Source organism: Homo sapiens, chromosome 12, assembly GCF_000001405.40.
Source record: "Homo sapiens chromosome 12, GRCh38.p14 Primary Assembly".
Lineage (NCBI taxonomy): Eukaryota > Metazoa > Chordata > Mammalia > Primates > Hominidae > Homo > Homo sapiens.
In genome coordinates, this window is record NC_000012.12 from 51,830,399 (window position 1) to 51,856,804 (window position 26,406).

Sequence of the window (26,406 nt, forward strand, 5' to 3'; positions counted from 1 at the left end):
ACAATGGGTACATATTTCGAAACACCATTTTGTATACCATAAATATACCCATTTTTATTTAAAAAAAGAAATTTTAAAATCAAAATATTGAGTTGTTTTTTTTTTTTTTTTGAGATGGAGTCTCACACTGTCGCATGGGCTGGAGTGCAGTGGTGCGATCTCGGCTCACTGCAACCTCCCCCTCCTGAGTTCAAGTGATTCTCTTGCCTCAGCCTCCTGAGTAGCTGGGATTACAGGCGCCCACCACTACACCCAGCTAATTTTCTGTATTTTTAGTAGAGATGGGGTTTCACCATGTTGGCCAGGCTGGTCTCAAACTCCTGACCTCATGATTCGCCCGCCTTGGCCTCCTAAAGTGCTGGATTACAGGCATGAGCCACCACACCCGGCCTACGCTCTTTTTTTCTTGAGACAGAGTCTCACTCTATTGCCCAGGCTGGAGTGCAGTGGCGAGATCACCACAGCCTCAACTTCCCAGGTTCAAGCGATCCCCCCACCTCAGCCTCCTTAGCAGTTGGGACCACAGGTGCCAGGTACATGCCACCGAGCTTGGCTAATGTTTGTGTTTGTTTGTTTGTTTGTTTTTGTACAGACAGAGTTTCACCAGGTTGTTCAGGTTGGCCTCAAACTCCGGGGCTCAGGCAGCCCACCCCCTCAGCCTCCCAAAGTGCTGGGATTACAGGCGTGAGCACAAAACCCAGCCTGTATTACCCTTAAAACAGAGACAACTGTTGATTTTTTGTGCAAATGAAGAATTACAGGAATAAATACAGTTGATAGATTAAAAAAATAAGGTCATATAGCTAAAAAAGAAAAAAAGAGGAAAAGAAAGAATGCTGGAGGTTCAGAGACAGCGGAGGTACTTTCGCTAGGGAGTCAGGAATTCATTTTGCAGCAGTCATGGGGAGCACTGGGGCATGGAGGGGACAGCAGGTCCCAGCTCGGAGGCTCCAGGAGAAAACAAGGAAAGTGCAGAGCTGAGCAGGGAGTGCTGGCACCCACTCCCCACAGCACCCCAGTTAAGCAGGTATTATTTGCAGATAAAACAGTGCCAGACAGATGTGGCTGGCCCCAGGTCACGCAATCCTCTGGAGGCCAAGTGGGGACCTGAAAGCAGATCTCCTCCCACTTCCACAGGCTGTGGAAAGGCAAGGATACAAGGCAGGGAGCACACCCCTGAGCGGGGCATGAGAGCCAAATGCTTTCCTTCCCTGTCCCTAAGCTCACTCCTTGGCGGGAGAGGGGATAGAACAAAGGATGAACCGAGGATGGGTGAGCTGTCTGAAGTCTCCCTCTTGTGCACTGATCCCACCCTCTTTCAAGAAAGACACTGTTCCCTCGGTTCCCCCTTCTCCTACCTGATCCATTTCCCTCTCTGCTGGGTCACTCTCATCAGCTCGCAAATATGCTGTTGTAGTTCCCGTTTTAGGAAAAAAAGCCCAAAATATATATACATTTTTGAGACAAGGTCTTGCTCTGTTGCCCAGGCTACAGTGCAGTAGTGTCCCCATAGCTCACTGCAGCCTCCACCTCCCAGGCTCAAGCATTCCTCCACCCCAGTCTCTTGAGCAGCTGGGACTACAGGCACATGCCACCACACCTAGCTAATTTTTAATTTAATTTAATTTATTTATTTTGAGACAGAGTTTTGCTCTGATGCCCAGGCGGAATGCAGTGTCACGATCTTGCCTCGCTGCAACCTCTGCCTCCTGGATTTAAGCAATTCTCCTGCCTCAGCCTCCTAAGTAGCTGGGATTACAAGTGCCCACCACCACGCCCAGCTAATTTTGGCATTTTTAGTAGAGACAGGGTTTCTCTATGTTGGCCAGGCTGGTCTTGAACTCCTGACCTTAGGTGGTCCACCTGCCTTAGCCTCCCAAAGTGCTGTGATTACAGGCGTGTGCCACTGTGCCCGGCCCCAAAATAATTTCTGAATCCCCCTTCAGCTACATTCTATCTCTCTCTCTTTGCTTGTTTTTACCTTTTCTATGCTACTGTTTCTTATTCCTGTCCTTCCATTCCTCTTGAACCCCTTCCAAGCAGGCATTTACCCCCAACACTCCACTACCTTTGCCTCATAACCACACAGCTGAATCTGATGCTCTGCCCTCCTCTTGCAAAACCAGGGACCTGCGCTCTCCTGGCCCCTGCTGCCGTCCCCTCCACAGCCTCTTTGCTGCCCTCCCATCACCCACTCCCTTCTAAACCCTGCAGACCTCGGGCTCAGTCCTGCAGCCTTCTTTTCCCTCTCCATGGTAATTCCGTGCATGATCCCATCCCATCTCCTAGCTTTGACCATCACCTGTGTATTGATGTTTCCCAAACATAGTTCTCCAGCTGAGATTTCTCCCCTGCACTCCGCACTTTATTCAACCTTCTTGCTGACATCCCCACTGGAATATTTAATTGGCATAATTAACATGCCCAAAAGTGAAACTCCGGGCTCCCACATCCGCAACCTAGCCCTCCCTCAGCCTTCCCCACTGCAGGAAATGGCAGCTGCATCCTTTCTAGTTGCTCAAGCCAGAAACCTTGCGGTCATCCTTAACTTCTCTTTCACTCTTCAGAACAGCAAATTAGATTCTTCAATCACTTCTCACCACCTCAGGGATGCTATCACCTGGACGACAGCTGCAGCCTCTCTCTCTTTTTTTTGTTTTGTTTTTTGAGACAGGGTCTCACTTTGCTGACCAGACTGGAGTGCAGCGGCGTGATCACGGCTCACTGCAGCCTGGACCTCCCAGGCTCAAGCAGTCCTCCTACCTCAGCCTCCCAAGTAGTTGGGACCATAGGTGTGGTGGGCCACCACACCCAGCTAATTTTTAAAATTTTTTTGTAGAGATGGGGGTCTCACTGTGTTGTCCAGGCTGGTCTTGAGCTCCTGGGCTCAAGCTAGCCTCCTTCCTTGGCCTCCAAAGGGCTGGGATTCCAGGCATGGGCCACTGTGCCTGGCCTCACTTCCATCTCACCTCCCCCTTTCTACATCGTCCTCTCTTTTCTTAACACAGTTGCCAGTGTAACTCTTGAAAGCATGTTCCATAAGTCATTCTTCCACCAAAAGCTTCCAGTGGCTCCCATCTCACTCAGAATAAAAGCCAAAGTCCTCTCATTGGCATACAGGGTCCTCATGGTCGGCTTCCATTACCTCTCGGCCTCACCTGCTGCCACTGCCCCTCCTCCCTCCCTTCCACACCCTGGCCTCCTCACAGCTCCTCCCGCCACGCTGCTTTCCACCTCAGTGCCCCTGCCTCTGCCCTGCCTGGAACACACCTTCCCTGGGCTTGCACCCTGCCTAGCATCAAGTCTCTGCTTAGCCGTTGCCTCGGCAGACACTGTCCCCTTCAACCTGATGTTCCCTGTAACACTCATCCATCAGATTATGGAACAACAGGTTGAAGGGGACAGTCCTATTTGTTGCTTTATTGTCTGTGTACCCACTAGAAAGTTCATGAGAGCAGGGACTTTGTTTTGTTCACTGTTATATCCCAAGCACCTAGGACAGTGCCCGGCACAGATTAAGTTCTCAATAGACTACAGGATGGATGGACAGACGGACGGATGGATGGATGAATGGACAGACAAATGGACGGATGGATGGATGAATGGACAGACAAATGGACGGATGGATGGATGGATGGATGGATGAATGGACAGATGGACAGATGGACAGATGGATGAATAGACAGACAGACGGATGGGTGGATGGATGGTTGGATGGATGGATGGATGGATGGATGGATGGATGATCCTAGAGGCTTGAAATGGCCTCTGTGTCCAAATAAAGAAAGCAATCAGGGTGACTAAATTTGAGTGTACATGTGATGGTGAGGGTGGCAAGGGGTGAAGCCAGGGGCTCACCTCAGGAATGGATAGGGGAGGGGAGTCCAGAAGGGGCATTTGTGTCTGTGAACACCAGAGGAAAGTGTCCAGCCCCCAAAGGCACCTATCTCAGCCCCCCAGAGACTCCACAGGGCCTCTTTCTCTTTAAATCTCTCTCCTTCTGTTACCCCCCACCCCATTGGGCTTCTGTGGGAGAGGACAAAAGGGGTGCTGGAATTCCCATCAAAGGTCTCTGGACACATGGTAAAGAGATCAGGGCCCTCAGGATCCTGCTTCCTGGAGGTGCGGAGGCCGCCCCGCCAGTCTGGCTCCTCTCTGGGGTGGGAGATGTGGTGAGGGGTGTGCTCTGGCCCTGGTCTTCTCATATGTCAAATGCCAAACAGCAGGAGGTCGGCCTGGGAGAAGCTGGCCAAGCGGCCCCCATCTGGGCTCTGTGTACGCGTGCACACGCTGACGGGAGGGGACAGCACAGATATCCCTGCCTGTGTCCGCGGTCAGGGCCACAGCCAAGCTGTGACCATCTGTTGTTGCTCTGAGAGGCCAGGCCAGGGGCCCAGCACCCTTGAGGAATGAACCTTCCCTTTCACCCAGCCTTCTAGTGTTTGCAAAGAACTTCATAGTTATCCATCGTTTTCGTCCTCACAATGTCCCTGCCAGATGGGCATTATTCTCCCCATTTTATAGAAGAGGAAATGGAGACTCAAGTGTGGAAAGAGATTCTCCCAAGGTCATACAAGCTGTAAGAGGGGAAGTGGGACTCAGCCCATGTGTCAACACCTGCCTACCCCAGCCTAGAGGCAGTAAGGCTCTCCAAGGTGCCTCAAAGCACAGGGTCCTCATTTCAAGCTCAAAATAAGCAGATCTCCAGGGTCAGGCTCTCAGGCACAGCCTCCCACCCATCCCCTGGCTCAACTCCTGCCCAACCCTCCCCCACCACCCCCTCTTCCAGGAAGCCTTCTTGGACTGACCCCCAAGGAAGTTCCTTAGATGCCTCAAAGTCTAGAGCTCCCTGCAGCCACTTCTTTCCCACTGTGACTGCCATGCTCTCCTTGCATGTTTATCTCCTCTGTGATCCAGGACCTCTTGAGGGAAGCCCAGTCACCCAAAGGAACAGATGATTCTCTAACTTCAGATGGCCCACACCGCATTCCCCTTCGAGGCAGCCCAGCAACCTGGGGAAGGAACATAGTGTGGCGGGAAGAGTCCTGCCCAAGGCCACCAGCCCAAAAGGGGCAGAATTGGCACTTGCACTCAAGGACTTTGCTTCAGCCCTGAACACAGCCTCTAATCCTGTACTGTCCAATGACAGGCACTAGCCCCATGTAACTATTTAAATTTGCAGACATTAAAATTTAATAAAATAAAAATTTTACTTCCTCAGTGGTACTAGCCACATTCCATATGTTCAACAACCGTATGTGGAAGTGGCCACTGTAGTAGACATCACAGACACAGAACCTTTCCATCACCATAGAAAGTTCTATCGGACGGAGCTGCTCTATCTTGAACTTCTATGGAGTCTCGCTTCTTAAGGTCTTTAGGTAGACTTCCTGCGGATCTAGACTTCTTTTTTTTTTTTTTTTTATAGACAGAGTTTCATTCTTATCACCCAGGCTGAAGTGCAGTGGCGTGATCTCCGTTTACTGCAACCTCCACCTCCTGGGTTCAAGTGATTGATTCTCCTGCCTCAGCCTCCTGAGTAGCTGGGATTACAGGCGTGCACCACCATACCTGGCTAATTGTTGTATTTTTAGTATAGACAGGGTTTCACCATGTTGGCCATGCTGGTCTCGAACTCCTGACCTCAGGTGATCCACCCACCTCAGCCTCCCAAAGCGCTGGGATTACAGGAGTGAGCCACCGTGCCCTGCAGGCTTCTTTTCCTAGGATTCCCAGGCAGTTTTACAGCTACCCTGGACTGGAGCTTTCCCTAGAACCAGGGGAGGGAGGATGGGCTAGCTGAGTCAACTCCCTCCGCCCCAGCCCCGCCTGTCTGCCCTGCCTCAGGAGAGGAGGGACAGGCGGAGGAGGAGGAGAGGAAGGTAGGACAGGGCACTCTGTCATCTGGCCTTTGGGCTGCGCTGCCCTCCCCCATCAGCTGCTCAACACCCCTCCCCCACCCCGCCCACCATCCTCATCCTCATCCAATCCCAAGGACAGATGGGGGCCAGCAGAGAGGGAGAAACGTGACCACAGTGAAAGCACTCTCAAGTGGTAACACAGTCCGGGGGTCACAGCTGTGTCCCCCGAGGCCTGGCCAGTCTCTCATGTCCAGCCTTGATGTCTGGTCAGGCCTGGGCTAAAGTGAGTCTCTGTTGGTGGGGGGCGGATACTTCAGAATCCTAAGGGGAGATGGAGGAATCTGTTGGTGCCGGATTATCCCAGCAGACACACCCCAGTTAGAAATGCAGTCACTCTTGTGGTCACTCATCCATCCATCCATTCAACACACATTGAATAAGCCCCCACCATGTCACAGTGTAATAGGAGGATGTAGAGGTGGGCAGTGGACTTCCTAACCAGCTTGACCAGGTAGGGACATGGCTGGTGGGCTTAATCCTCGTCCCAGGCTAGATGAAGGTCCTTTGTCTCTGCCCAGTGGTCTGAGCAGGGTGGACACCCCCAGCCCCCTCCTCCCCTCACACAGGCGCACATGCCGGTGGGTGGGTGCGCAGACACACACACTCCCAGCTGCTGCCAGAAACCCCCCTCCTGTGGTCTCTCTGGCCAATCACAGCACTGAGGAGTAAGTCCCACTGTCCGGTGGCCCCCAGGGAGTGTATTAGCACATTTGAACCGCTCAACCTGCAACTGACAAAGCCTGGGGCCTTGGGAGGGGACACAGCAGGAGGGGTGGGGGCCTGTGGGGAGCTCTCCTCCCGTCTGCCTCTCAGGGGGAAGCTCAAGACTAGATTAAGCATTCTGGGGCACAGAGGAATTTGGGGGCCCCAGCTCCAGCCGTGAATAAGCGATCCATAAAATCCCAATTTACACACTCACTGATCAAACAGCCCATCTACTACCCCAGGAGGTTGGGGGTGGCTCCTGGGCCTCTCCTGCTCTCAAAGAAGGTCCGGGGGAGCTGGGAACTGGACATAGGACGCAGGCTCCCAATGTTTTCCCTACAGCCTCAGTCCCATTCCCAATCCCCATGAGGGGTATCCATGCCAAGGGCGTGGGGCCTGCCGGTACCCCCTGTGACCTGGCTGCCTTGGGATGGGCTGGGGGGCTGCCTCAGTCAGGCAGCCATCTTTGTCCACCCTCTGTGAATAACAGCTCCTTTTTTCTCTTGTGTTGCCCTGGGGCCGCCAGGCCCGACTGCAACCTCATCAGAGCTGCTAATCACTTTTCCAGCTCTCCTCTCCTCCCCACCCCCTTCTTCCCAACAGCCCCTCCACGTTTTCTCTGGACCCTCCACCAAAAGCTGCCCTGGGATGCTCAGGCCACCTTCCTTCCACTGTCTTGTCTCACCCCAAAGCTAGGCAATATCCAGGAACACAAGGGGCTCCAGGCTGGTGCTCTGTCCCCAGCCCATCTTCTGGGAGAAAGCAGGTAGAGAGAAATAGCCTTGTTATTACCCTAGTCCCTGCCACCAAAGAAAACACAACGTGTCTCCCTCTTGCCTAGGTGTTGTTTGCTCCCCTTGGTTAGGCTGCCTGCAATTTCACCAAGAGAACACCATTCTGGTTAAGAAGGATTCTCTTTTAAACCAAATGGAACTTCTGGGAGGCTCCAGGCTGTCAGCCAGTCACACCTCCAGGAGGATTAGCAAGGCTGATTCTCCTTCTCCTTCCCACCTGCTCGAGGTGAGCTGCATGGGCCACTAGAAGTGTTCATGGAGGCCGGGGAAAGCGAGTCTTTGGGGCTGGGAATTGCCCACCACACCACACCCCACTTCTCACTACATGTGAGCTATGTTGGAGCAGGTCAGAGATGGATGTCAGCTCCTGGGCCCTGGGGGAAGAAAGGAGTAAGGGCTGCCCTGTCTGTGTGCTTCCCAGAGGCCACTGCACACTGGGCTGGGAGCTGGATCTCCATTGTCTCATTCAGTCCCCTCAGCAGGCTGCTGGGAGGATTGTGGTGTGAGCCTGTTCTACGGTGAGACATACTCCTTCCCTTCTCCCCTTTCTCCACTTCACTGGCTGCTCCAGGTACCCCACCCCAATAGAGCCTGTACCCATTAGTAACCTGGGTAAGGCAGGTGTCTGAAGGGCAACCTGAAAGACTGACCCACGGCTTGCAGGGGTCTCTGAGCCCACTCTAGCCAGCCCTTCCCCCTCCCATGACTCAGGTATTGCAGGGAGTGAGCACTGGCCTCAGAGTCAGCCTCTGAGATGTGGGACAATGTCTTGATCTGTTTCCTCCATTGTGAAATGGGGGGTGGAGAGGCAGCATCCCCCTCACAGGCTGGCCTGAGGGCAGTGAAGGAGAGGTGGAACTTTCCTGACTAGCTAGAGGGGCCACCCATGCAGGACCCAGGGCAGGCTCCAACTCGCTCCTAGAGACTGGCTAGGTGCAGTGGCCTGGGAAAGAGGTGGGGGGGCTGCTCTCCAGGCCCAGAAGGACCCAACTCATTTGACAGAGGACTCCAAAGAGAAAACATAATCCTGGAGCTGCCTGCGGGGCCCCAGAAGAGCTCTGCCTTGCAGGAATGAGTTCCCTGTCCTGCCCTGACCAGCTGACCGTCACTGAAAATACAGTCCCAAACCACAGCTTCCCAGGATGTCCTCGCCTGACCCCTGGCTGCTCTGACCTGTGTCCTGGGACATCTGTCACCAGCCTCTCCTCTGCTAATAGAGGGAGGAGCACCAGGGCCCTCCCATGACCCCCCCAGCCCACCCTCTGCCACTTAGAAACTGCCAGGCAAGTCTCATACTCCTGCTTCAAGTCCCTCCTGACAGCCCACTGTGCCCAGACGTAACTTGGTCTTGAGCCACATTCTTCACTGTCCCCGGGAATCTTAAGAGGAGAGGTAGGAATCTAGGTGAGAATCTTAGGACCCTCTGGGAGGGTCCACAGAGACCTCAGACTCAACATGCCCAAGGAAAACATCTCCACCTCCTCTCTCCCGATTCCATCTCTTCAGCTAGGCTGGAAACCTAGGAGTCCCTGTGTCTGTCTCTCCAGCCTCCACTCATCTAGCTGGCCATGAAGTCAGGTTAACACTCTCTCTAAAACAACCCACAGCTCTCATGTTCCCCACCACAGCTGGCCCCACCTCTGAATTCTGCCTCTGTTCTCTGCCTTCCTAATCCTTCTTCTGTGTGGCTGCTAGGGTGGTCTTTCTGTCTAAAACAGACTCAGCCTCCTACCAAGCACAGAGACGATGTTAACCCTTCAGCCTGGCACCAGAGGTGGATGAGTCTGTCCTTCCTTCCAGCTTCGGGCCCTTTCCAGCTCCTCCAGTCACATCAGCCCATTCTCTCTGAGGCTGTTCCTGTCTCCCTCTTTGGTGCCCCGAAGCATGTTCCAGGCACTTCTGCCCTTCCACTCCAATGCCCAATTTAGAGGTGACATCACTTGTTAACTGGGTTCCCATTCCCTCCGCTGCTCAGCCAGCCCCTGTCTGTGAGCCCTGGTACAAGTGGCTCTCTAGCCCTTTCTGCAGCTCTCTCTCTACCCTGACCTGCTCCTTCCCAAAGTCCCCTCCCTCAGAAAACATTCCCTGACACACAGTGGTAGAAAGAGCAGGGCCACTGGGAACGAGGATGACCTGGACTTTTTAATGATAGTCATGACTTTTTGTCAGCAATTACTTTTTAAAAAGATGACTTGCTTTTTCATTGAGGAACAGGGATTTGCAGTTGACTCTGCGCTTTGCCCTGTCTGAAGTCAGTTCCCCTCCCTGAGGCTCTGTTTCTAGCACACAACGCAGCCTCACACCTGTGCACTCAGTGATGGGCACTGCGGGGAGGGCGCAGGTGCTCAGTGGAGGCCGCCATGGACTGTCCTCTGTCCACTTGGGGTGGCCCTGTGATCTGGGGCTGGTGAGGTCCTTCCAGTGCCTGTCTCCTCTTGGGTCTGCATCTGGGGCTCCTCTTTGCCTGGGACTTGGCCCTGCATGGGCGAGAGATGGAGGATGAGGCCAGAGCTCTTCACCACTTTCAGCCTTAGGCCCCTTTCGCAGTCTGGAAAACCTATGACCTGTTCTCAAAAATACTTCCTCAATGCATAAAAGAAAAATACATGGGGCTACAAAGGGAATTAATAACATTGGCCAGGCACGGTGGTTCACGCCTGTAATCCCAACACTTTGGGAGGCTGAGGCAGGCTGATCACCTGAGGTCGGGAGTTCAAGACCACCCTGACCAACATGGCGAAACCCTGTCTCTACTAAAAATACAAAATTAGCTGGGTGTGGTGGCACATGCCTGTAATCCCAGCTACTTGGGAGGCTGAGGCAAGAGAATTGCTTGAACCCAGGAGGCAGAGGTTGTGGTGAGCCGAGATCACACCATTGTACTCCAGCCTGGGCAACAGAGCAAAACTCCATCTCAAACAAAAACAAAAACATTGGAATACAGTTATCTGCAGGAACTCCTCAGGGTCATGGACCACAAGGCTCAGCCCAAGAGCCTAGAGTCTCTTGGAGGGCCCCACACTTCCCCTCCCCGTAGCCAGTTTTAGGATCCAAGGTTGACTTGAGTCTGTTTGGGTGGCATGTGGCCTCCAAAAGGCTTAAGCTTTAAAGTCTGGGTGATCCTGTGTGCCCTAGCCCCAAATATGGCCCCTTCCCGTGCATGGGGGTGGGAGAGAGACATGCCCCCACAGGGCCAGGCCTTACCAAAGGCGAGGAAACAGGCCCAGGCAGCCCACCCAGGAGTCCCCAGCAGCTGCCTCAGCCCCTCCTGCCCTCTTCCCAGCCCTGGGGGGGCTGAGCCGAGTAACTCCAGCTATGCAGCCCGGCCGGTCCACCTGGGTGTGAGTGGGCAGGGCTGTCCTCAAGGGGGTGGCCCCCTACACCTGCAGGGCCACAGGAACACAGAGGGAAAAAGATACTGGGGGGAGGGTGCTAGGAAAAGACTGAGCAACCACAGCAGCTCCTGTCTGCCTGCTCCCATATGGGATTCTCAACACAAGCCAAGTCCGGCCCTGAGTGCTTCACACACATCAGTTCATTTAATCTGAGTGAGGACGTTATTCCCATGTTGCAGGTGAGGAAACTGAGGCTCGATTAACTTGTCTAAGTCACCAAGCTGGGACAGATGCCACCCCCAGCAGTCTTGCTCCAGATACTTCTCTGCCTGCCACAGCAGGTGGTGGTGTTCCCATCGAACAGCTGAGAAAACTGAGGGAGCAGTTCATTCCCACCCTCTTCCTCAACCTCCCCTGCTCCCCCAGCCCTCCTTTCTTGAACCCCCTCCCACACTTAGCCACCAACCCCGGAGCTTAGCATATCTCAAACTTGTTCTCATGGGACCAGATAAATCCCTGCCCAGGTCTGAGAGGCGCTGGCCTCAAGGCTAGGACACAGGACTCTGGTTAGGGTCTCAGCCAGACTCTGCAGAGAGTGATCAGAAAGGACTGCAAGGCTGAGACTGTGCCAGAGGAGTGGGGAGGAGAAAGGCTCCTGAAGACCAGATCTCTGCACGACCGTGGCGGCCCCTGCAGCTCTGCACAGCCCCTCCTCCCCTTTTCCTCAAAAGAAGCAAATCCTCCATGAAAGATTTTTGGCTTCACAGAAGGACTTGGCCCCATCTGAGAACACGTGAGCCATCTCTAGAAGTGCTGAGTCCCCATCAGTGGAGGCACTCGGCACCAGAGAATGCCTTTCCCGGGAGGGGCACTGCTGGGCAGGTGGAAGGGCTCTCCCCTCCTCTCCCCTCCTCTCTTCTTCTCTGATATCTAATGATCACTACAAACTCAACAAGTCCCAGAATGGACTCCTGACCTCCTCCTACCTCAGCCTCCCAGCTGCCTTCCTCATTTTACGCAGCTCCTTTTTTCTCAACAAGGGGCTCAGTCCCCAAAACTCAGGCCTGAGGAGGGCCACAGTGTGGAAGACGATGGTAAAAGAATGGCCAGCCCATGCCGGACACAGTGTGCCTGGAAAGGAAGCCCCTTCCTAGAGGAGTGAGGACCCAGCCACTGATGAAATGCTGTCCCTCCAGAGAGCAAGGAGGAAGGTGCAGTTTCTCCTGGTGTCCAGAGAGTTCCCAGGGAGCCCCTTTGCTCCAGCAGAAGGCAACAGACAGGCTGGGTGGGGAGGGAGCCGCATGATATGAGGGCTGGGGAAGAGGGATCCTTTTTCAGGTATAACCTAAATCCTACCAGTTTTCTTTCCCCACTGGCCTGGAAAGAACAAACACCTCCAGATTCTTAAGCATCCAAGGGTCAAATAGGGCACTCGGCTGCAGGTGGACCCTCCCCAAGCAGTGGCCCTTGTCTCACTTTGCTTCTAATGCCCACCGACACAGCCTCCCCCAGGAAAAGGCAATCTGCTCAGGACTCCTCTGAGGCAAGCCCCTGCTGTCAGATGCTGATCCTCCCCCTTACAGCCTCTGAAACCTGTCCTGTACCCTCGCCATAGCCCAGAGGCTGCCATTCCCCAGCTCACATGCCCTATGTGGCTTCCTTCTGCTTAGAGAATGCAGGGACAGTGGTCCTAAAAGCATAGCCTGTCCTTTTGCCTCTTCGCTGGTCCCCAACATCTTGTGAGCTCCTTGAAGGTGGCACCACATCAGAAAATAATGGTTGCTGGATGAATAGCTACCTGGATAAAATATTCAAGGCCTCACAGCCATGATACATGCTAGGCACTTGTGGCAAAGCAACACCAAAGCTGGGGCCACCCTTGGGCTCTCCCTGGCCATGTGGGAGGCTGCAGGTGGCTAAGGAAGCCAAAGCATAAAAGCCCCAGCTCAGAGCCTGGTCCATAGGTGTCCACTGCATGTGTGGGGAGGCTCAGGAAGGCCAATCCTGGCTGGACACCCGCGGGAGCAGCTGAGGTTCACCCAGAGCCTTGCACAGTACTGGACACAGTGCGTAGGTGCTCAACACAGGTTTGTTAATAGTAAATGAAGTCTCACGGCTCACGTCTGTAATCCCAACACTTTGGGAGGCTGAGATGGGCAGATCACTTGAGGTTAGGAGTTTGAGACCAGCTTGGCCAACATGGCAAAACCCCGTCTCTACTAAAAATACAAAAAAAAAAAAAAAATTAGCTGGGCGTGGTGGCATGCACCTGTAGTCCCAGCTACTCAGGAGGCTGAGGCATGAGAATTGCTTGAACCCAGGAGGTGGTGGTTGCAGTGAGCAAAGATCATGCCACTGCACTGCAGCCTGGGTGACAGAAGAGACAATCTCAAAAAAAAAAAAAAAGAGTCAATGCAGCTTGTTTGTCACATCTTCACATCCATCCCTGATTAATCACAACACTGGGCTGGGGACCATGTGGCCTGAGTCTGCCCTGGCAGTGAGAGGGGACAGAGGGAGGTATGCTGCTACCTTCCAGATTCCTGCAGGCATCCATGCTGCCTCTCCTCCCATCTACCTGCCCACCCCCTGTCTGCCCTGACTCCATGTCGGAGGGGGCTTCAAATATGGCCTGGCAGGCTGGTTGCAATGGCTCACACCTGTAATCTCAGTACTTTGGGAGGGCAAGATGGGAGGATCACTTGAAGCCAGGAGTTCAAGATCAGCCTGGGCAACATAGTGAGACCACCGCCTCTACAATTTTTTTTTTTTAAGATGACTTGGGCAAGCACTGCTGTGGGCCAGAACTTTCACACACACATGCCCTTTCCCCATCCTCACTCCTATGCTAGAAGGTCGTTCTCTGGAGTCCCTGGGCCCCGAGTCACTAAGCGGGTCCCCAAGGTAGGCTTCAGAATCAAAGGGGCAGACTATTTGAAACCAGGGCCACATCACCATCATATGAGGTTCTTATCCCCATTTTAGAAATGATGAAATTGAAACCCAAACAGATGAAGTCACTTGTCCGGAGTTACATCTGATTAGCAGCAAGGGGTTGCTGAAGCACAAAGCTTGGTCTCTAGGGTAGGGGTCATAACTGGTCATCAAAAATGGGGTTGGGGCTACAGAGGCAGGCCATGGCCACTGCCCAGCTCTCCCACTCACTAAGAACCCCCACTCTGCCTCCAACCCTGAAGATGAATATTCCAAAGGCTGACACTGTCCATACCTCGGTACTAAAGGAAAAGACAGAAGGCACTCAGGGGGTTCGCACTGCAGTCCCCTTTCCTTGGCTAAGCAAACTGGGGAAATGCTGGCCTCAACAGTAACCACAGCCCTGAGCACCTGCACCTAGAGTCATTCAAGACTAGGACTCAGGTCTCCCAGCTCTGACTCCTTTCATCCTCACAATATCCTGCTTAGGAGGTGGACACCATTCTTCACTCTATTTTCTCACCTCACAGATGAGATACAGAGTGTTTAACAAGTGTGTGGAAGCGTTAACTATGATTCATCAAGATGCTTATGAAACTGCTCGGAGAAGAGCAATTGCCACTTGTTCCTGGAGACAAGTGGACCCTAAAAAAAAAGCTGGACAGCCTCTCTCCAAGCCACATAGTCAGAGATGAGATGACCAGCCCAGACCCTGACCCAGCCAGTGTGAACTCTTCCCACTTAAAGGCTGGCCTAGTGCCTCAATCTCATACCCCTGGTCGCTTGGTTCTGGCGGTCCTACTGCAAGTAATATGGCCATGGAGTGAGCACTGAGTGGGGAGGTCAGGAAACCCAGGCTGCAGGCATGACTCTGTCCTCAGCACATCAGAGAGGGATGGACTGGGGTGAGGGTTTCTTGACATAAGGTCCCCATGGGCTTCAGGGGATCCAAGAATCCTCTAAAGCAGAATGCAAAGTCTGGTGTCAATTAACGGAAGTGCATTTTTCTGGGGATGGCTTTCATCAGTGTCTCCAAGGGCTCTGTAAATCAAAAAAAGTTATGGATACCCAGAATGGGTAATCTTGGAGGCTCCTTCCATGCCCTAGTATTCCTGGGTTATATATGGGTTTAAACGTGAAGTACACTCCCCATCCTTCAAGGCCAATTCAGTGGCTGCTCTGGGAAGCTCTAACAGATTTCTTGCTTCTTTGACTGCAGGGAAAGGCTGGGAGCCCAACACCACAGAGCCTGGCAGGGTCCCTCTGCCCTGATCTCCCTCACCAGACAGCCAGCTCCCAAAAGGGGGCAGGACCAGCCCAAGGCTAAGGTAGCAGATGCCAGCACCCCATACTTGACCTCTTGTGGCTCACCGCCCCCCCCCCACAGTCTCTGTCCCCTGAAGGGGGTCTCAGGGCTGCAGAGCACAGGGGCACTGGGGCCTGGAGTCCACATCTCCCTGCTGCAGCCCTGGAGCTTTGCAGAGCCATGCTCCTTCCAGGAACCTGGTTTTCATTAAATCGGGTAAAGGAGTCGATAACCGCCAAGTCCAGGAGAGGCAAAGTTCTGCTAGAAGGCACAGGGAAGGTGAGGGAGACCAGCCTGTCTCTTGCCCTCCCTGGCTGACCGACGGCAGGGGGAGGGGAAGGCAGGGCTCCTAAGGGTCCAGCAATGGCAGCAGTCGGAGCTTGGGGGGAGAGTCGGGGGAGTCCTGGCCCAGATAATAAGCAATTGTTAATGTGATCCATATGGATCCTGACTGGCCTCTCTGTTTAACAGAATGATAATGGCAGGGAAAGAATGCTGGTCTGTGGGGAAGGGAAGGGGCAAAGTCCTCCCCGGACTTGGGGGGGTGGGGTAGGGTCATGGGGAGGAGAAGGAGGCAAATAAGGGAAAGGGAGAGGAGGAGCCCCACCCAGGGGTCTCCACCACCCAAGAGCACAGAGCTGTTTACCTGAAGGTGGCCAGATTCCATGCTATGCAGACTGCCTGGCTAAAGGCCCTTACAAAACCCCTTTTATTCAGCCAACCAATATTTATGGAGCACCCACAAGGTGTCAAGCCCTGTGGCAAGCCCACTGGGGGCAGGGCCAGGGAGTACATGCTCCATTTCAGTCAAAGCCCTGAGTGGACCCCGCCACAAAGGCGGAAGGGAGCACAGGTGCAGGCCACGGAGGGAGGAGCAAGTGACAGAAGCTCGGGGCTGGGGAGGTGATGCGGAGGAGGTGCGCATCCGAGTTGGGCCCTGAAGAATAAGGAGGTTGTGGAAAGACAGGGACAATGAGGAAGGCATTTGGCTGGAGGAACAGCGGGAGCAAAGGCAGAGAGGCGTGAAATTGCGTGGAGAGAGCCCTAGATCTCAGCAATAAAGCTGCGGCCCAGGCAGGGCAGGGAGGGGAGTCCTGATCCATAAAAAGCTGTGGCCATGGGTGAGCAGAAGAAAGGCAGGAAAGGGCTCTGCGACGCCACACTCAGTCTGGGTGGCTCTCCCCAGCCTTCGCCCAGGCTGGTACTGGAATTGACAGTTACGGGATCCTCAGCCCAGCCCTCAGCCATACCACGGCCAGAGAATCGGGCAGGGCCTCCGAAGCCAAACTCATTTCTGTGTCTCTCAGCCCCTTCTGTTTCTTCTTCTGGGGCGGGGGTGGGGGCAACAGGAATCCCCCCGAGGAATGCGGGTCCTCTAGGCCTCCCCAGGAGCAACTCCTCTGCCCCACACAGCCTAATTCCCTTTGGCCCAAAAGGGCTTCGCCCAGAAGATATTACAGCGAGGACACGAGGGTCGCTCCCGTCTGCCTTGGATGCCAATGGAATCAAGTGGAAAGAAATGAAATGGTGTTAAACATGGGAAAGGGGATTTACGAGGCCTGTCACCCGTCCAGCCCAGCCACCCCAGCAAGCCCCGCCCCTTTCCTCGCCCACCCCAGGAAGTCCCGCCCCGCCCCCTGCCCGCAGCTCGCGCGGCCGCCCGGTACCCGCGTCCCACAGCTGGGTGGCGGCGGCACCACAGCACCGGGCAGCCCGGCGCGCCCGTCCTTGGGGGCTCAGGCACAGCGGGGAATGGCGTCGGTTCCGGACTGAGAGGCTCGGGGAGGCTTTAGGAGGATGCTATGGGATTTCGGGGTAGGCTCCGGGAGGGTCTGGGACTCCCTCTGCAGGGTCAGAGGGTTTCGCACCGTGGCATCTGCGGGCCCAGCCCACTCCAGAGACTGGGCGGCTCCACAGGGGAGGCCCCACGGCCCAGGAACCGGGAAGCCCACCTGCGCCGTAAGCCCAGAGTTGGGCTGGAACCGGGTCCCCACTCCTCGCTGCCGGGCGGAAAGCAGGAGACCGCTCCGCCGCCACAGCCCGTGCGGACAACACAAACATTCTTCAGTCCTCTATTCTCCTCCAAATTAGGTATCCATGGAGACAGGGCCGGCAGCCTGACAGCCCTACGGCCTAATCCTGATTTAGTGACCGTCCCTTTAACAGCCCACCCACCCGTCCACCCACCCCTGCGCTCCGGGCCGCCGCTGGGCGCAGGGTCCAGGCCGCGCGCTCTCTGCCCCGCGCAGACCCCTTCCCAGGCCTCCTCCTCTGGCGGGGGCAGGGGGACCAGCGGGGCTGGGGAAGGGCACCAGCATTTGCTGATCACCTACAGGGTGCTCAGCAATCTGCGAAGGACCCTCTGCAGCGGCGGGGGGGTTGCTAGCATGCGAATCTCTGTGTAGAACAGGAGAGGGCTCTTGCGGTGGGGAAGTTTGAGGGGCCCTCTCTGGAGAGCTGGGCGCTCCGGGGGTCCCCCTTGTTGCCTGTAGCCCCAGGGTGAAGGTGAGTACAGCCTCCTACAACCCCCTGACTCTGAGACGCGGGCTCTGTTCTCCCGGGCCAGAGGAGAAGACATGAAGAGGGTGGGTGTTAGGGGCGCGGGGACCCTAAGTAGCCTCGGCCTCCTGTCACTGCCCCGTCACCATGCTGGGGAATCTCCGGGCCAGTAACCCAGCCCCCACCCCTCCCACACACACACACAGGGGCCGCTGGACAAAGACCTGACGGAGTGGGAGGGGCCTGCGGGCCGGCCCTCGGGCTCCGGACGCTGGATCCTTCTGGGACCCGAACCCGCAAACCTTGGCTCCCCACCCCCAGGCCAGCAGACGCCCCCGAGCCGGCTGCTCGCTTTCGCTGCAGCCCCCGCACCAGAGGGGGCTGCGAGACGGGTGCCCGTCGGCGGCCGGGCGGCTATCCCCTGCTCTGCCCGCCCCCTCCCCCCGAGAAGTGACCCTCGGCTCCCACGTACCCGCTAGGGTCTCTCGCCGGCCCTGCCCTCCGACCCCCGCCGAGCTGAACCCCGCGACTAGCAGCCCCCGCCCTCTCGGCCCTCTCCGGCCCCGGGCCGGCGGACAAAGCTCCGGACACCCTGACCGAACGGTCACCTCCCCCCGCCCCATCCCGGCCCGCCCGCGGCCCCGTACCTCGGCATCACGGCCGGGTCCTAGGTGAGTGTGCGCGGCCTGGGGGCGCGTCCGGCCCGGGGACCGGGGCGGCGGCGCGGGCCGGGGGCGACAGGCCTGGGCTGGGGGGCAGTGGCGCTCACCATCCTGGAGCCGCTGCTGCTGCGGCTGCTGCGGCCGCCGCGGGCGGGAGCGGGACTGGGCAGTGGGGGTGGCCGGACAAGGGGCGGCCCCGGCTCCCCCCGCAGGAAAGACCCCCACCCCCACCCCCGCCTCCCCTCGCCCGCCCCCAGGGCCCTCCCTCGCAGGCCCTCCCTCCCCTCCCCTTTCCCTGCTCCTCCCTCTCCTAGTGCCCCTCTCTTCCCCCAGCTCCCGCCCCTTCTCTGGCCCCTCCACCCCCGGCTTCTTCCCCGCCCTCCCCCACCTCGCCCCCGCCCCGCCCCCACCTCCCCTGGGCTCGCCCAGCCCCTCCTTGCCACCCTCCCGGCTGGCCCCGCCCCCTCCCGCCCCTGGCTCTAAAATAAATTAGCCACAGAGGGGAAAAAAGAGCAAGTGACCCTCGGTGTGGAGAGTGTCCTTCGCCACTCTCAGACCCGTCCGCCCCGCCTCTCCCGGCCGTCGGAGCGGGAAGCTGGGGTTGGGGTGGGGGTCGGGCCGGCGGGTAGGGGTGGGGGACGGCATGGGGACGGGGCCGAGGCCGGGACTGAGCAGCCCAGCCCGTCGAGCGTGTCCGCTGGATGTGGGCGGCTTCCTGGGTCGAAGGGCAAAGGGGAAGGCAGCCGGCCTGGGCCCGCCCCGTCCGCGGGCCGCCCCAGACCCCCTTTCCCAGGACTGCCTTGGCCCCCTGGCCCCAGTCTGGAGGACTCTTGCTCACTTCCTCCGCCCCCAGGTGAGCTGAGAACCCACTGCGCGCGGGACTCTGCTGCGCCTGCCCTCCCGGGCTGCAGAGGGCAGGACGCACCGCCAGGCAAGGCCGCGGCTCTGCGCTGATGCCACTCCGGGAGCGGGTGGCTGCGGGGGAGGAGGGCGAGCACTGGACGGGGGCAGCGGAGTGTAGGGTGTGAGATCTAAACAGAGGGCTCCACTGGAGGGCTTGCCCAGAAGGCGGCAGTCACACTGGGCCAAGCAGGATGACTGGCAGGAAGAAAAGATGAGGGATGAATCCCAGACCTCTAGTCCACTGAGAGTGTCCAAAGACATCCGTTCAATAGATACATACTGAGTGTTAACTTTGTGCCAAACATTGGACTGTGCACCAGGGATACCCAAGAGAGTCCAAGAGGCACAGCCCTGTCTTCCTGGAGCTCCCAGTCGAAGGGTAGACAGAATTCTGCCCGACACACACACACTCAAGGCTTCATCAGGGATAAAGGCCAGGAACCGGCTTTGCCCCAGGAGAAGGTAGGAGGAGGGCTGTGCTGATGATGGAGGGTCCAGAGAACCTTCCTGCTGTTGAGCCTCCAGATGTCCCAAGGCAATCCTGTTTCCACCCAAGGGCAGTGCTTAAGGGTCCTCTCTCCTGAGAGCTTGTTTCCCTTTTGAGTGGCTGCCTAGCCTGAGTGTCAGTAGGGCAAGATTGGCCCTCACCCACTAGCCTGTAGAACTCCAAACACTACCCCCTCCCTTCTTCTAATGCAGATTCCCCTGCAGGCTCTGGGGTCTGACAGGTCTGGGGCACTCCTTTAGGTGCCACTCAGGGAAACAGAAGGGGAGGGCCTCAGTAGCTCCCACTTCTTTTCCAGCCCACATTTGGAAGCAACCGGCACCCACGCAGGTTCTGGAACTTGCCAAGGTCAGTGTCTTTTCCACCTCCAGAATTATCTCTTCCTTGCCACTCCCCACCCCCAGGGCTCTGCCCTGGCACAGGAGGAGGGACGTGTCAAGGCTCAGAGTGCTAGAGTAGCCCCTGGCTTCAGAATCAGGCAGGATGAAGGGAGCCACAACCACCATGCTAGGAGACTGGAACCCTTGCTGGAGGAACAATCCCAGGATACCAGCTGGAAGGAACTCCTTGGCTATTTCCTTATTGTTGGAGCACTGGAGGCCCAGAGAGGAGAAGTGACACACTTGGGGTCACACAGCAAAGCTGGATCTAGAATCCACTGCACTTTTTCCACCCCTACCTGTCAGGTTCCCTGACAGCCAGAGACAGGAACTAAGGGAAAGACTAATATCCTTATGAGCTGGGTGCCTCAGCCAGCAGGATTAGTGCCAGGAAGCCAAGTCTGGCATTGCCAATGGGGATCCTGCTCCACCATGCTCCAGGGAAGGGGGGATGACAGGAGTGGGGTTGGACTGAGGCGCTCAGTGTGAAGGAAGGAATTGATCATGCGCTCCCCTGGAGCGGGGATCCGGTTCTCCTTCATCCTCTAGGAGTCCGGGAGTAAAGGAAGGACAAGCTTAAAGCTAAGGAAGGCCTTGCTAGTGAGATAGTGGAAGACACCAGCCTGCTGGATAAGGCCTTCGCTGGACTCCAGGGGCAAGACCAGCAGCTTGGCAGTACTGAGTTGTTTCCAATGGGCGGACTGCTGTGGGTGATATTAAGAGGTTTAGTTAGCAGGTGGGGGTGAGGTTGATCATTTCACCCCTCCACCTCCCACCCTGCACCAGTGCTCAGGGCGATGAAGTGTGGCTCCCCCTCCCAGAGCTCATTAAAGTCCTGTTAATACATCATCCAGCCTCCTGGGCTGACAAATACTCTGTTCATCACATCTCTACCTCCTGCCCTCTTGGGCAGGGCCCGAGAGACTGATCTCTGAGGACTCTGGGGTGACCTCACTCCTGGCTGTCCCCAGTCAAGGGATCTGTGCCCTGAGAGCCCCTGCTGAGGTGGCTGTGATCATCCCCAGGCAGGTCAAGTGCCTGGCAATGGATTGGATAATAATAGTGGTAATGATGGTGGTAATGTGTGGCTTCTGCAGAGGGCCCTCCATTCTTTCCCAGATCTTTTGCTAGTATCACACCCAAGGTGGAGAATCCCACCCCCATCCTGCCCCCAGGGGAGACAGGTGCTATGCTTGGTTGTGTGGCTGAGTGCAGGCACCTGCTGCGGGCGCATGCATGTGGGTGTGCAGCAGAAGTGTGGGAGTGTGTGACCTTCCTGGTCCAGAGACCTGCAACAAGGGCTTTCTAAAAACATTAAGAAGAAAAATAACTCCGTGGGTCTAGGGAGAATCAGCTCAAAGGATTTTGGAGGGAGGGGGGAGAGTTAGAGGGAGGAAGTAAAAGCTAGAGAGAGAGGGCGGGAGGAGCAAGTAGGGTGAGGAGGAAGGAAAGAAAAGGGCCCCGGGTTGGGGGAAGGATGGGGTGGGGGGAGGAAGGGAGAAAGAAATGGAAGAGAGGAAGAGGAAAGGGCGGGGAGGCCTCTTTGTGGTCCTCTGGACTGGCCACTCAGGAGTCATTATGAGCAGGAAAGGAAGGAAATGTGTCCTGGCTTGGGGATTGGGGTGCGTGCCCAGAGGGCACCACACCCAGCTGGGCTTCCCCCCAACCACACTTGCCCGGGACTCAGGCTGCTGTCCCCACAAATGGAAACTCTAGCCCTTCTCATTCTTGCTCTTTGCCCATCAAGGCCCAGTTCCCAGTGCCTCCCCAACCCTGATCAAACCACCCCAAAAACTCTTACTCTTCATGAACGTATACCAGCTTTGCCTTCCCACTGTGCTACAAGCTGTGTCTAGTCTGGATCCTATCCCCACCCCACATCCAGCCTAGGAGCCCTCGAAAGCCTGTAGGCAAACTAGAAAACATGTTCCTCCCTCTATGCAGCTCAGACTTGGGAGGAGGAGCTGGGTGGCTATCAGTCTCCGCTAACTCCTTGGGGCCCAACACTTGGGGACGCTGATACCTCGCTTCCAAAATCGTTACCCCACACATGGCCCTGCTGTTTGTTCTTTGAGCAGAAGCACATCCTGCACCATCCTGCAGCATAGCTCTTCAGCCAGCACCCCAAATTGATCCCACCATGTACCTTACAGTCACACAGAAACTCCCACTAAACATGCATACCTTTTTAATACCTCAGAATCTTTCTGCCTGGAATCTCATTTCCCTACTCTGCCTGATGAGCTCCTATTCATCCTTCAGAACCCAACTCAGGTATGCCCTTCTCTGTAAAGTCTTCCCTATCTGTCCCGCATCCTAGCAGAGCACTTCCAATCTTTTTTTTCCCCTAGGTTCCAGGGGTTGAGCCCACTCCATCCTGTCCAAAGGCAGAAGCCTCCTCCAAGTCCTGCACGATCCGCCCTCTAACATGCAAGCCCATCTGGAACCTCTGGAATCCTACTGGGCTTCTTCGCTCCCTAAAGTTTACAGACCCAGGGCAAAATAGGGAACTGCAAATCCAAGTGGCCCAGAGGTCTCTCCACCCCCACTCTGCCCTCTCTGGGCCTGAGCCTGACAGGAGATTCCCAGCACATCTGGTTGTACTTAAATCATCCAGCACTACTGGAGTAGGTTCCCTGCTTCTCTCCCTTCAGCCCCAGCCTCCTCCCCTTCCTACACCAGCCTTCCAGGTCTCTCCTCCAGGATGCCTTCCCTAACTCATCCAGCCTCGGTATCTGCACCCCACCCTTGAACCTCCACCTCTTTGGGTCTGGAGTCTGCCAGGGTGTGGAAGGGAGGGTGTGTGCTCCGCAAGACTCAGTGTGTAGAATCTCATCCTTCCCGAGCATTGGTCCTAGATAGAAACCTTCCCTTCAGGTAAGGAAGGGAGCCAGCCAAGAGCCTCCCCTCTGCTCCCTTGGCCTCAGGGGTGGCTGTCTCCAGTTATGGGTGTGTACAGTGGGGAGGAACAAGTTCAGATCCAGGCAGAGCCATTCCTTTGGCAACTCTTGCTGTCAGCCATCTTCCAAAGAGCTTTGCAAAATGTTAAAGAACAAAAGAGAAATAAATACAGAGAATATAGCAAGTATAAAAATGCACAGTCTAGGCCAGGCACGGTGGCTCACACCTGTAATCCTAGCACTTTGGGAGGCTGAGGCAGATGGATCACTTGAGGTCAGGAATTTGAAACCAGCCTGGCCAAGATGGTGAAACCCCATCTCTACTAAAAATACAAAAATTAGCCAGGTGTGGTGGCGGGCACCTGTAGTCCCAGCTATTTGGGAGGCTGAGGCAGAAGAATTACTTGAACCCCGGAAGTGGAGGTTGTAGTGAGCCAAGATCACACCACTGCACCCCAGCCTGGCTGACAAAGCAAGATTCTGTCTCAAAAAAAAAAAAAAAAAAAAAAAAGAATGCACGGACTCTAAAGAACAAGTTTGTAACCTACCATGACCTGCTCCACCAGGGCTCCAGGTTTGAATGTTCATTCATTCTTTTATTCAATAGCATGTACTGATGCCTGAGTCTACTAAGTTCTAGGAACAGTGACTCAAGTAAGATCCCAGGGTCAGTGGGGGACAGGAACAGGTGGATGAACAAATGCTGCATGCTGTAATGGACATGAGTCAGGGAGACAGAGGGGTGCCAAGGTTGAAGGTCAGAGACCCTGGACTGAATCCCACCTCTGTCACTTTCTGCACTGTCTCTGGGGAGCCACTTAATCTTGGGGAGCCTGTCTCCCCACCTGGAAAAGGACGATGATGTGACCTCACAGGGTCGTAGTGGGACTCAAATAAGATAATGTGTGTGAAAACGCCTTGCAAAGTGCTAAGTGAGTTGTTGCTATTATGATTAGGCTCAGGGGCTGCCTATCTGACACTCATTTTTCTAATGCCTCAACAGCTGTCTCTCTTACCCTCCCAGGGCAGGTACCACGTTGGAGAAACTTCTGAGGGTGAAGGACACCCACCCTAGAGTAGTGGGCAGTTAAGCTGCCCGCATAGACACACACACACACACTTTAGTTACACAAGCAGAACACCTTTTTATAAAAATTCGAAAGGCATCATGTGCCTACAGCCTCAGTTACTCAGGAGGCCGAGGCAAGAGGATTGCATGAGTCCTGGGCAACAGAGTGAAACCCATTTCTACTATTTAAAAAACACTAATAAGAAAAAATAGATAAGCAGAAAACAAAAAAATTAAAAATCCAACGCCTTTAATCCCACCACCCAGAGATAACCACCAGTAATATGTTGGAGTCAGTTAGCCGGTCACAGTGGTGGGGGGCCTGTGGTCCCAGCTACTCGGGAGACTAAGGTGGGAGGATTGCTTGAGCCAGGGAGATTGAGGCTGCAGTGAGCCGTGATTGCGCCAATGCACTCCACCCTGGGCAACAAAGCAAGACCCCATTTCAAAACAAAACAAACAAAAAACCATTTTGGAGTCAGCTAGATATTATTCTATTTATCTCTCTCTACACACACACACACACACACACACACACACACACACACACACACACACATATGTATATATAGAGAGATCTCCACAGTGTTTTATAATATACTTTTCTTAATAGACAATTTTTTTTTTTGAGAGGGAGTCTTGCTCTGTTGCCCAGGCTGGAGTGCAGTGGTGTGATCGCGGCTCACTGCAACCTCCACCTCCCAGGTTCAAGCAATTCTCCTGCCTCAGCCTCCTAAGTAGCTGGGATTACAGGCATGTGCCACCACAGCTGGCTGATTTTGGCATTTTTAGTAGAGACGGGTTTCACCATGTTGACCAGTCTGGTCTCAAACTCCTGACCTCAAGTGATCCACCTGCCTTGGCCTCCCAAAGTGCTGGGATTACAGGCGTGAGCCACCGCACCCAGACAATGGACAAATATTTTGAACATCTTTTGCTGTCTATAATACGTTTATACCACACAATTGTTAATGACAGCTTAATATTCCATCAAGTGGACATGTCTAAATTAATTTAAAAAGTTTCCTGGCCAGGTGCGGTGGCTCTTGCCTGTAATCCCAGCACTTTGGGAGGCCAAGGCGGGCGGATCATGAGGTCAGGAGTTTGAGACCAGCCTGGCCAACATGATGAAACCCCATCTCTACTCAAAATACAAAAGTTAGGTGGGCATGGTGGCGCACTCCTGTAGTCCCAGCTACTAGGCAGGCTGAGGCAGGAGAATAGCTTGAACCTGGGAGGCAGAGGTAGCAGTGAGCCAAGATCTCACCTCTGCATTCAAGCCTGGGCAACAGAGTAAGACTCTTCTGGAAAAAAAAAAAAAAGTTTCCTTTGTTGTTGATTTTTTTCCAGAAATAAAAGCTTCATGAACAAACCTGTAACTTCCACCTTTGTGCACGCGTCTAATTATTGCCTTAGGATAAAGTTCTGGTAACCAGAGGCTAGGAATGCATATTTTTATCTCTGAGGAGCCAGGAGCCCAGGCCTCTGGGCAGTGCTCTCACCTCTCCTCCAGGCAGCCCTCCCAGACCTCCAGGGTTGAGTACATCTCCCATGGTCCTTTCCTCTCCAAGTAACTTCATCTCTTAGAGACCTGCCCTGAGACCCCTGAAAAATGCTGGGAAAGTCTGGCTGGTGACGGCCAGGAGGGGCCGGGGTGGAGAGCACAAAGCAGGCTTGTCTGGGGCACGGGAAGAGGCCCCGCCCTCCGTGCTGCTGGTCCAACATTCCTCCTGGACAATGGCTGCCTTGGGAATCCCGGGAATGAAGGAGGCGGGCGGCTTCCCGAACCTGCGCCCTCCACCCCCATCAAGTTGCGCCCTTTCCCCAGATGGAAAGCAGGGGCACTTTGCATTGCGGCAGGGTGGGGAGGCCAGCTAGCCTCCATGCCTACAGCCCCCGCCCCTCCTTTTACCAACACTAATCCACAACGCCCCGCAGCCGAGTCCTGCTCAGCCACCCCATCCCCATGGACCTTGGGCGAGTCCTGCTCCTTCAACTGTAAAATCAGGAGCTTGGATTCAGTGGTTGCAAAACTCCCCACAGATCTCAAAGGCCGAAATGTAGTGACTAAGGCATGCACAGGCTTTGGAGCCAGGTTGCCCGAGTTCAAATCCTGGGCTGCCCTTTACCCTGGGAACTTAAGCCCCTGGGTTGCCGGCTTCCCTCTCGCAAAGTGTGTTTGTTGATACAGCTCCACTCCCTCCCGATGGGAAGGCAAACTCCTCAAAGTCTATAAATCCCGATCCATGTGTAACTCTGCTCAAAACACTAACCAGATCTCCAACCCCAGGCCCCCTCATACCCTGTGCGGATTTTGGCCCCTGGACATTTGCCCAACAACTGGCCACACTTCTGGGAGCTGCGACGGGCACCTGATATCCCTGACGAAGCATCCTTCCCCAGCATGTTTCCATCTTCCCTTGCATCAGTCATAAGGCCGTAAAGCTGTAAATGGTAAAGGCTTACTGGGGCACACAAAAATTTTAAATATAG

The 26,406-nt window shown here is 55.2% G+C and overlaps 1 protein-coding gene and 1 long non-coding RNA gene across 6 annotated transcripts in view, besides 5 other annotated features; one reads left to right on the forward strand and one right to left on the reverse strand.

Moving 5' to 3' along the window:
* FIGNL2 (fidgetin like 2) overlaps nucleotides 1–18,320 on the reverse strand; it is a 30,820-nt gene extending 12,500 nt beyond the window's left edge. Inside the window, exons 1-2 of one of the 5 annotated variants that reach the window (NM_001384996.1) lie at nucleotides 18,142–18,320; nucleotides 9,724–9,897 (exon numbers count right to left, since the gene is read on the reverse strand). Coding sequence is in view for 2 of the 5 variants with exons in the window: in XM_017019298.2 (XP_016874787.1) it covers nucleotides 9,724–10,054 (331 nt within the window). In the remaining 3 variants the exon portion in view is untranslated. Of the gene's footprint in view, nucleotides 1–1,358; nucleotides 1,520–9,723; nucleotides 10,127–16,947; nucleotides 17,183–18,141 lie in introns of those variants that run through there. The other 4 variants (XM_017019299.2, NM_001384995.1, XM_017019298.2 and 1 more) reach the window with 4 other exon arrangements.
* Nucleotides 5,682–6,633: an enhancer, noted in NCBI's record as "H3K27ac-H3K4me1 hESC enhancer chr12:52229864-52230815 (GRCh37/hg19 assembly coordinates)". NCBI's record gives its function as "activates a minimal SCP1, AML or CMV promoter by ChIP-STARR-seq in naive H9 embryonic stem cells {active_cell/tissue: H9 hESC(naive)}" and the evidence as "EXISTENCE:reporter gene assay evidence [ECO:0000049][PMID:30033119]".
* Nucleotides 14,516–15,226: an enhancer, noted in NCBI's record as "H3K4me1 hESC enhancer chr12:52238698-52239408 (GRCh37/hg19 assembly coordinates)". NCBI's record gives its function as "activates a minimal SCP1, AML or CMV promoter by ChIP-STARR-seq in naive and primed H9 embryonic stem cells {active_cell/tissue: H9 hESC(naive and primed)}" and the evidence as "EXISTENCE:reporter gene assay evidence [ECO:0000049][PMID:30033119]".
* Nucleotides 15,227–15,935: an enhancer, noted in NCBI's record as "H3K4me1 hESC enhancer chr12:52239409-52240117 (GRCh37/hg19 assembly coordinates)". NCBI's record gives its function as "activates a minimal SCP1, AML or CMV promoter by ChIP-STARR-seq in naive H9 embryonic stem cells {active_cell/tissue: H9 hESC(naive)}" and the evidence as "EXISTENCE:reporter gene assay evidence [ECO:0000049][PMID:30033119]".
* Nucleotides 16,646–17,354: an enhancer, noted in NCBI's record as "H3K27ac hESC enhancer chr12:52240828-52241536 (GRCh37/hg19 assembly coordinates)". NCBI's record gives its function as "activates a minimal SCP1, AML or CMV promoter by ChIP-STARR-seq in primed H9 embryonic stem cells {active_cell/tissue: H9 hESC(primed)}" and the evidence as "EXISTENCE:reporter gene assay evidence [ECO:0000049][PMID:30033119]".
* Nucleotides 17,553–18,544: an enhancer, noted in NCBI's record as "H3K27ac-H3K4me1 hESC enhancer chr12:52241735-52242726 (GRCh37/hg19 assembly coordinates)". NCBI's record gives its function as "activates a minimal SCP1, AML or CMV promoter by ChIP-STARR-seq in naive H9 embryonic stem cells {active_cell/tissue: H9 hESC(naive)}" and the evidence as "EXISTENCE:reporter gene assay evidence [ECO:0000049][PMID:30033119]".
* On the forward strand, nucleotides 17,825–22,331 carry FIGNL2-DT (FIGNL2 divergent transcript). The gene is made up of 3 exons (NR_135803.1): nucleotides 17,825–18,165; nucleotides 19,863–19,912; nucleotides 22,296–22,331. It is a non-coding gene; the product is annotated as an FIGNL2 divergent transcript (long non-coding RNA).
* The last annotated feature ends 4,075 nt before the right edge of the window (nucleotides 22,332–26,406 follow it).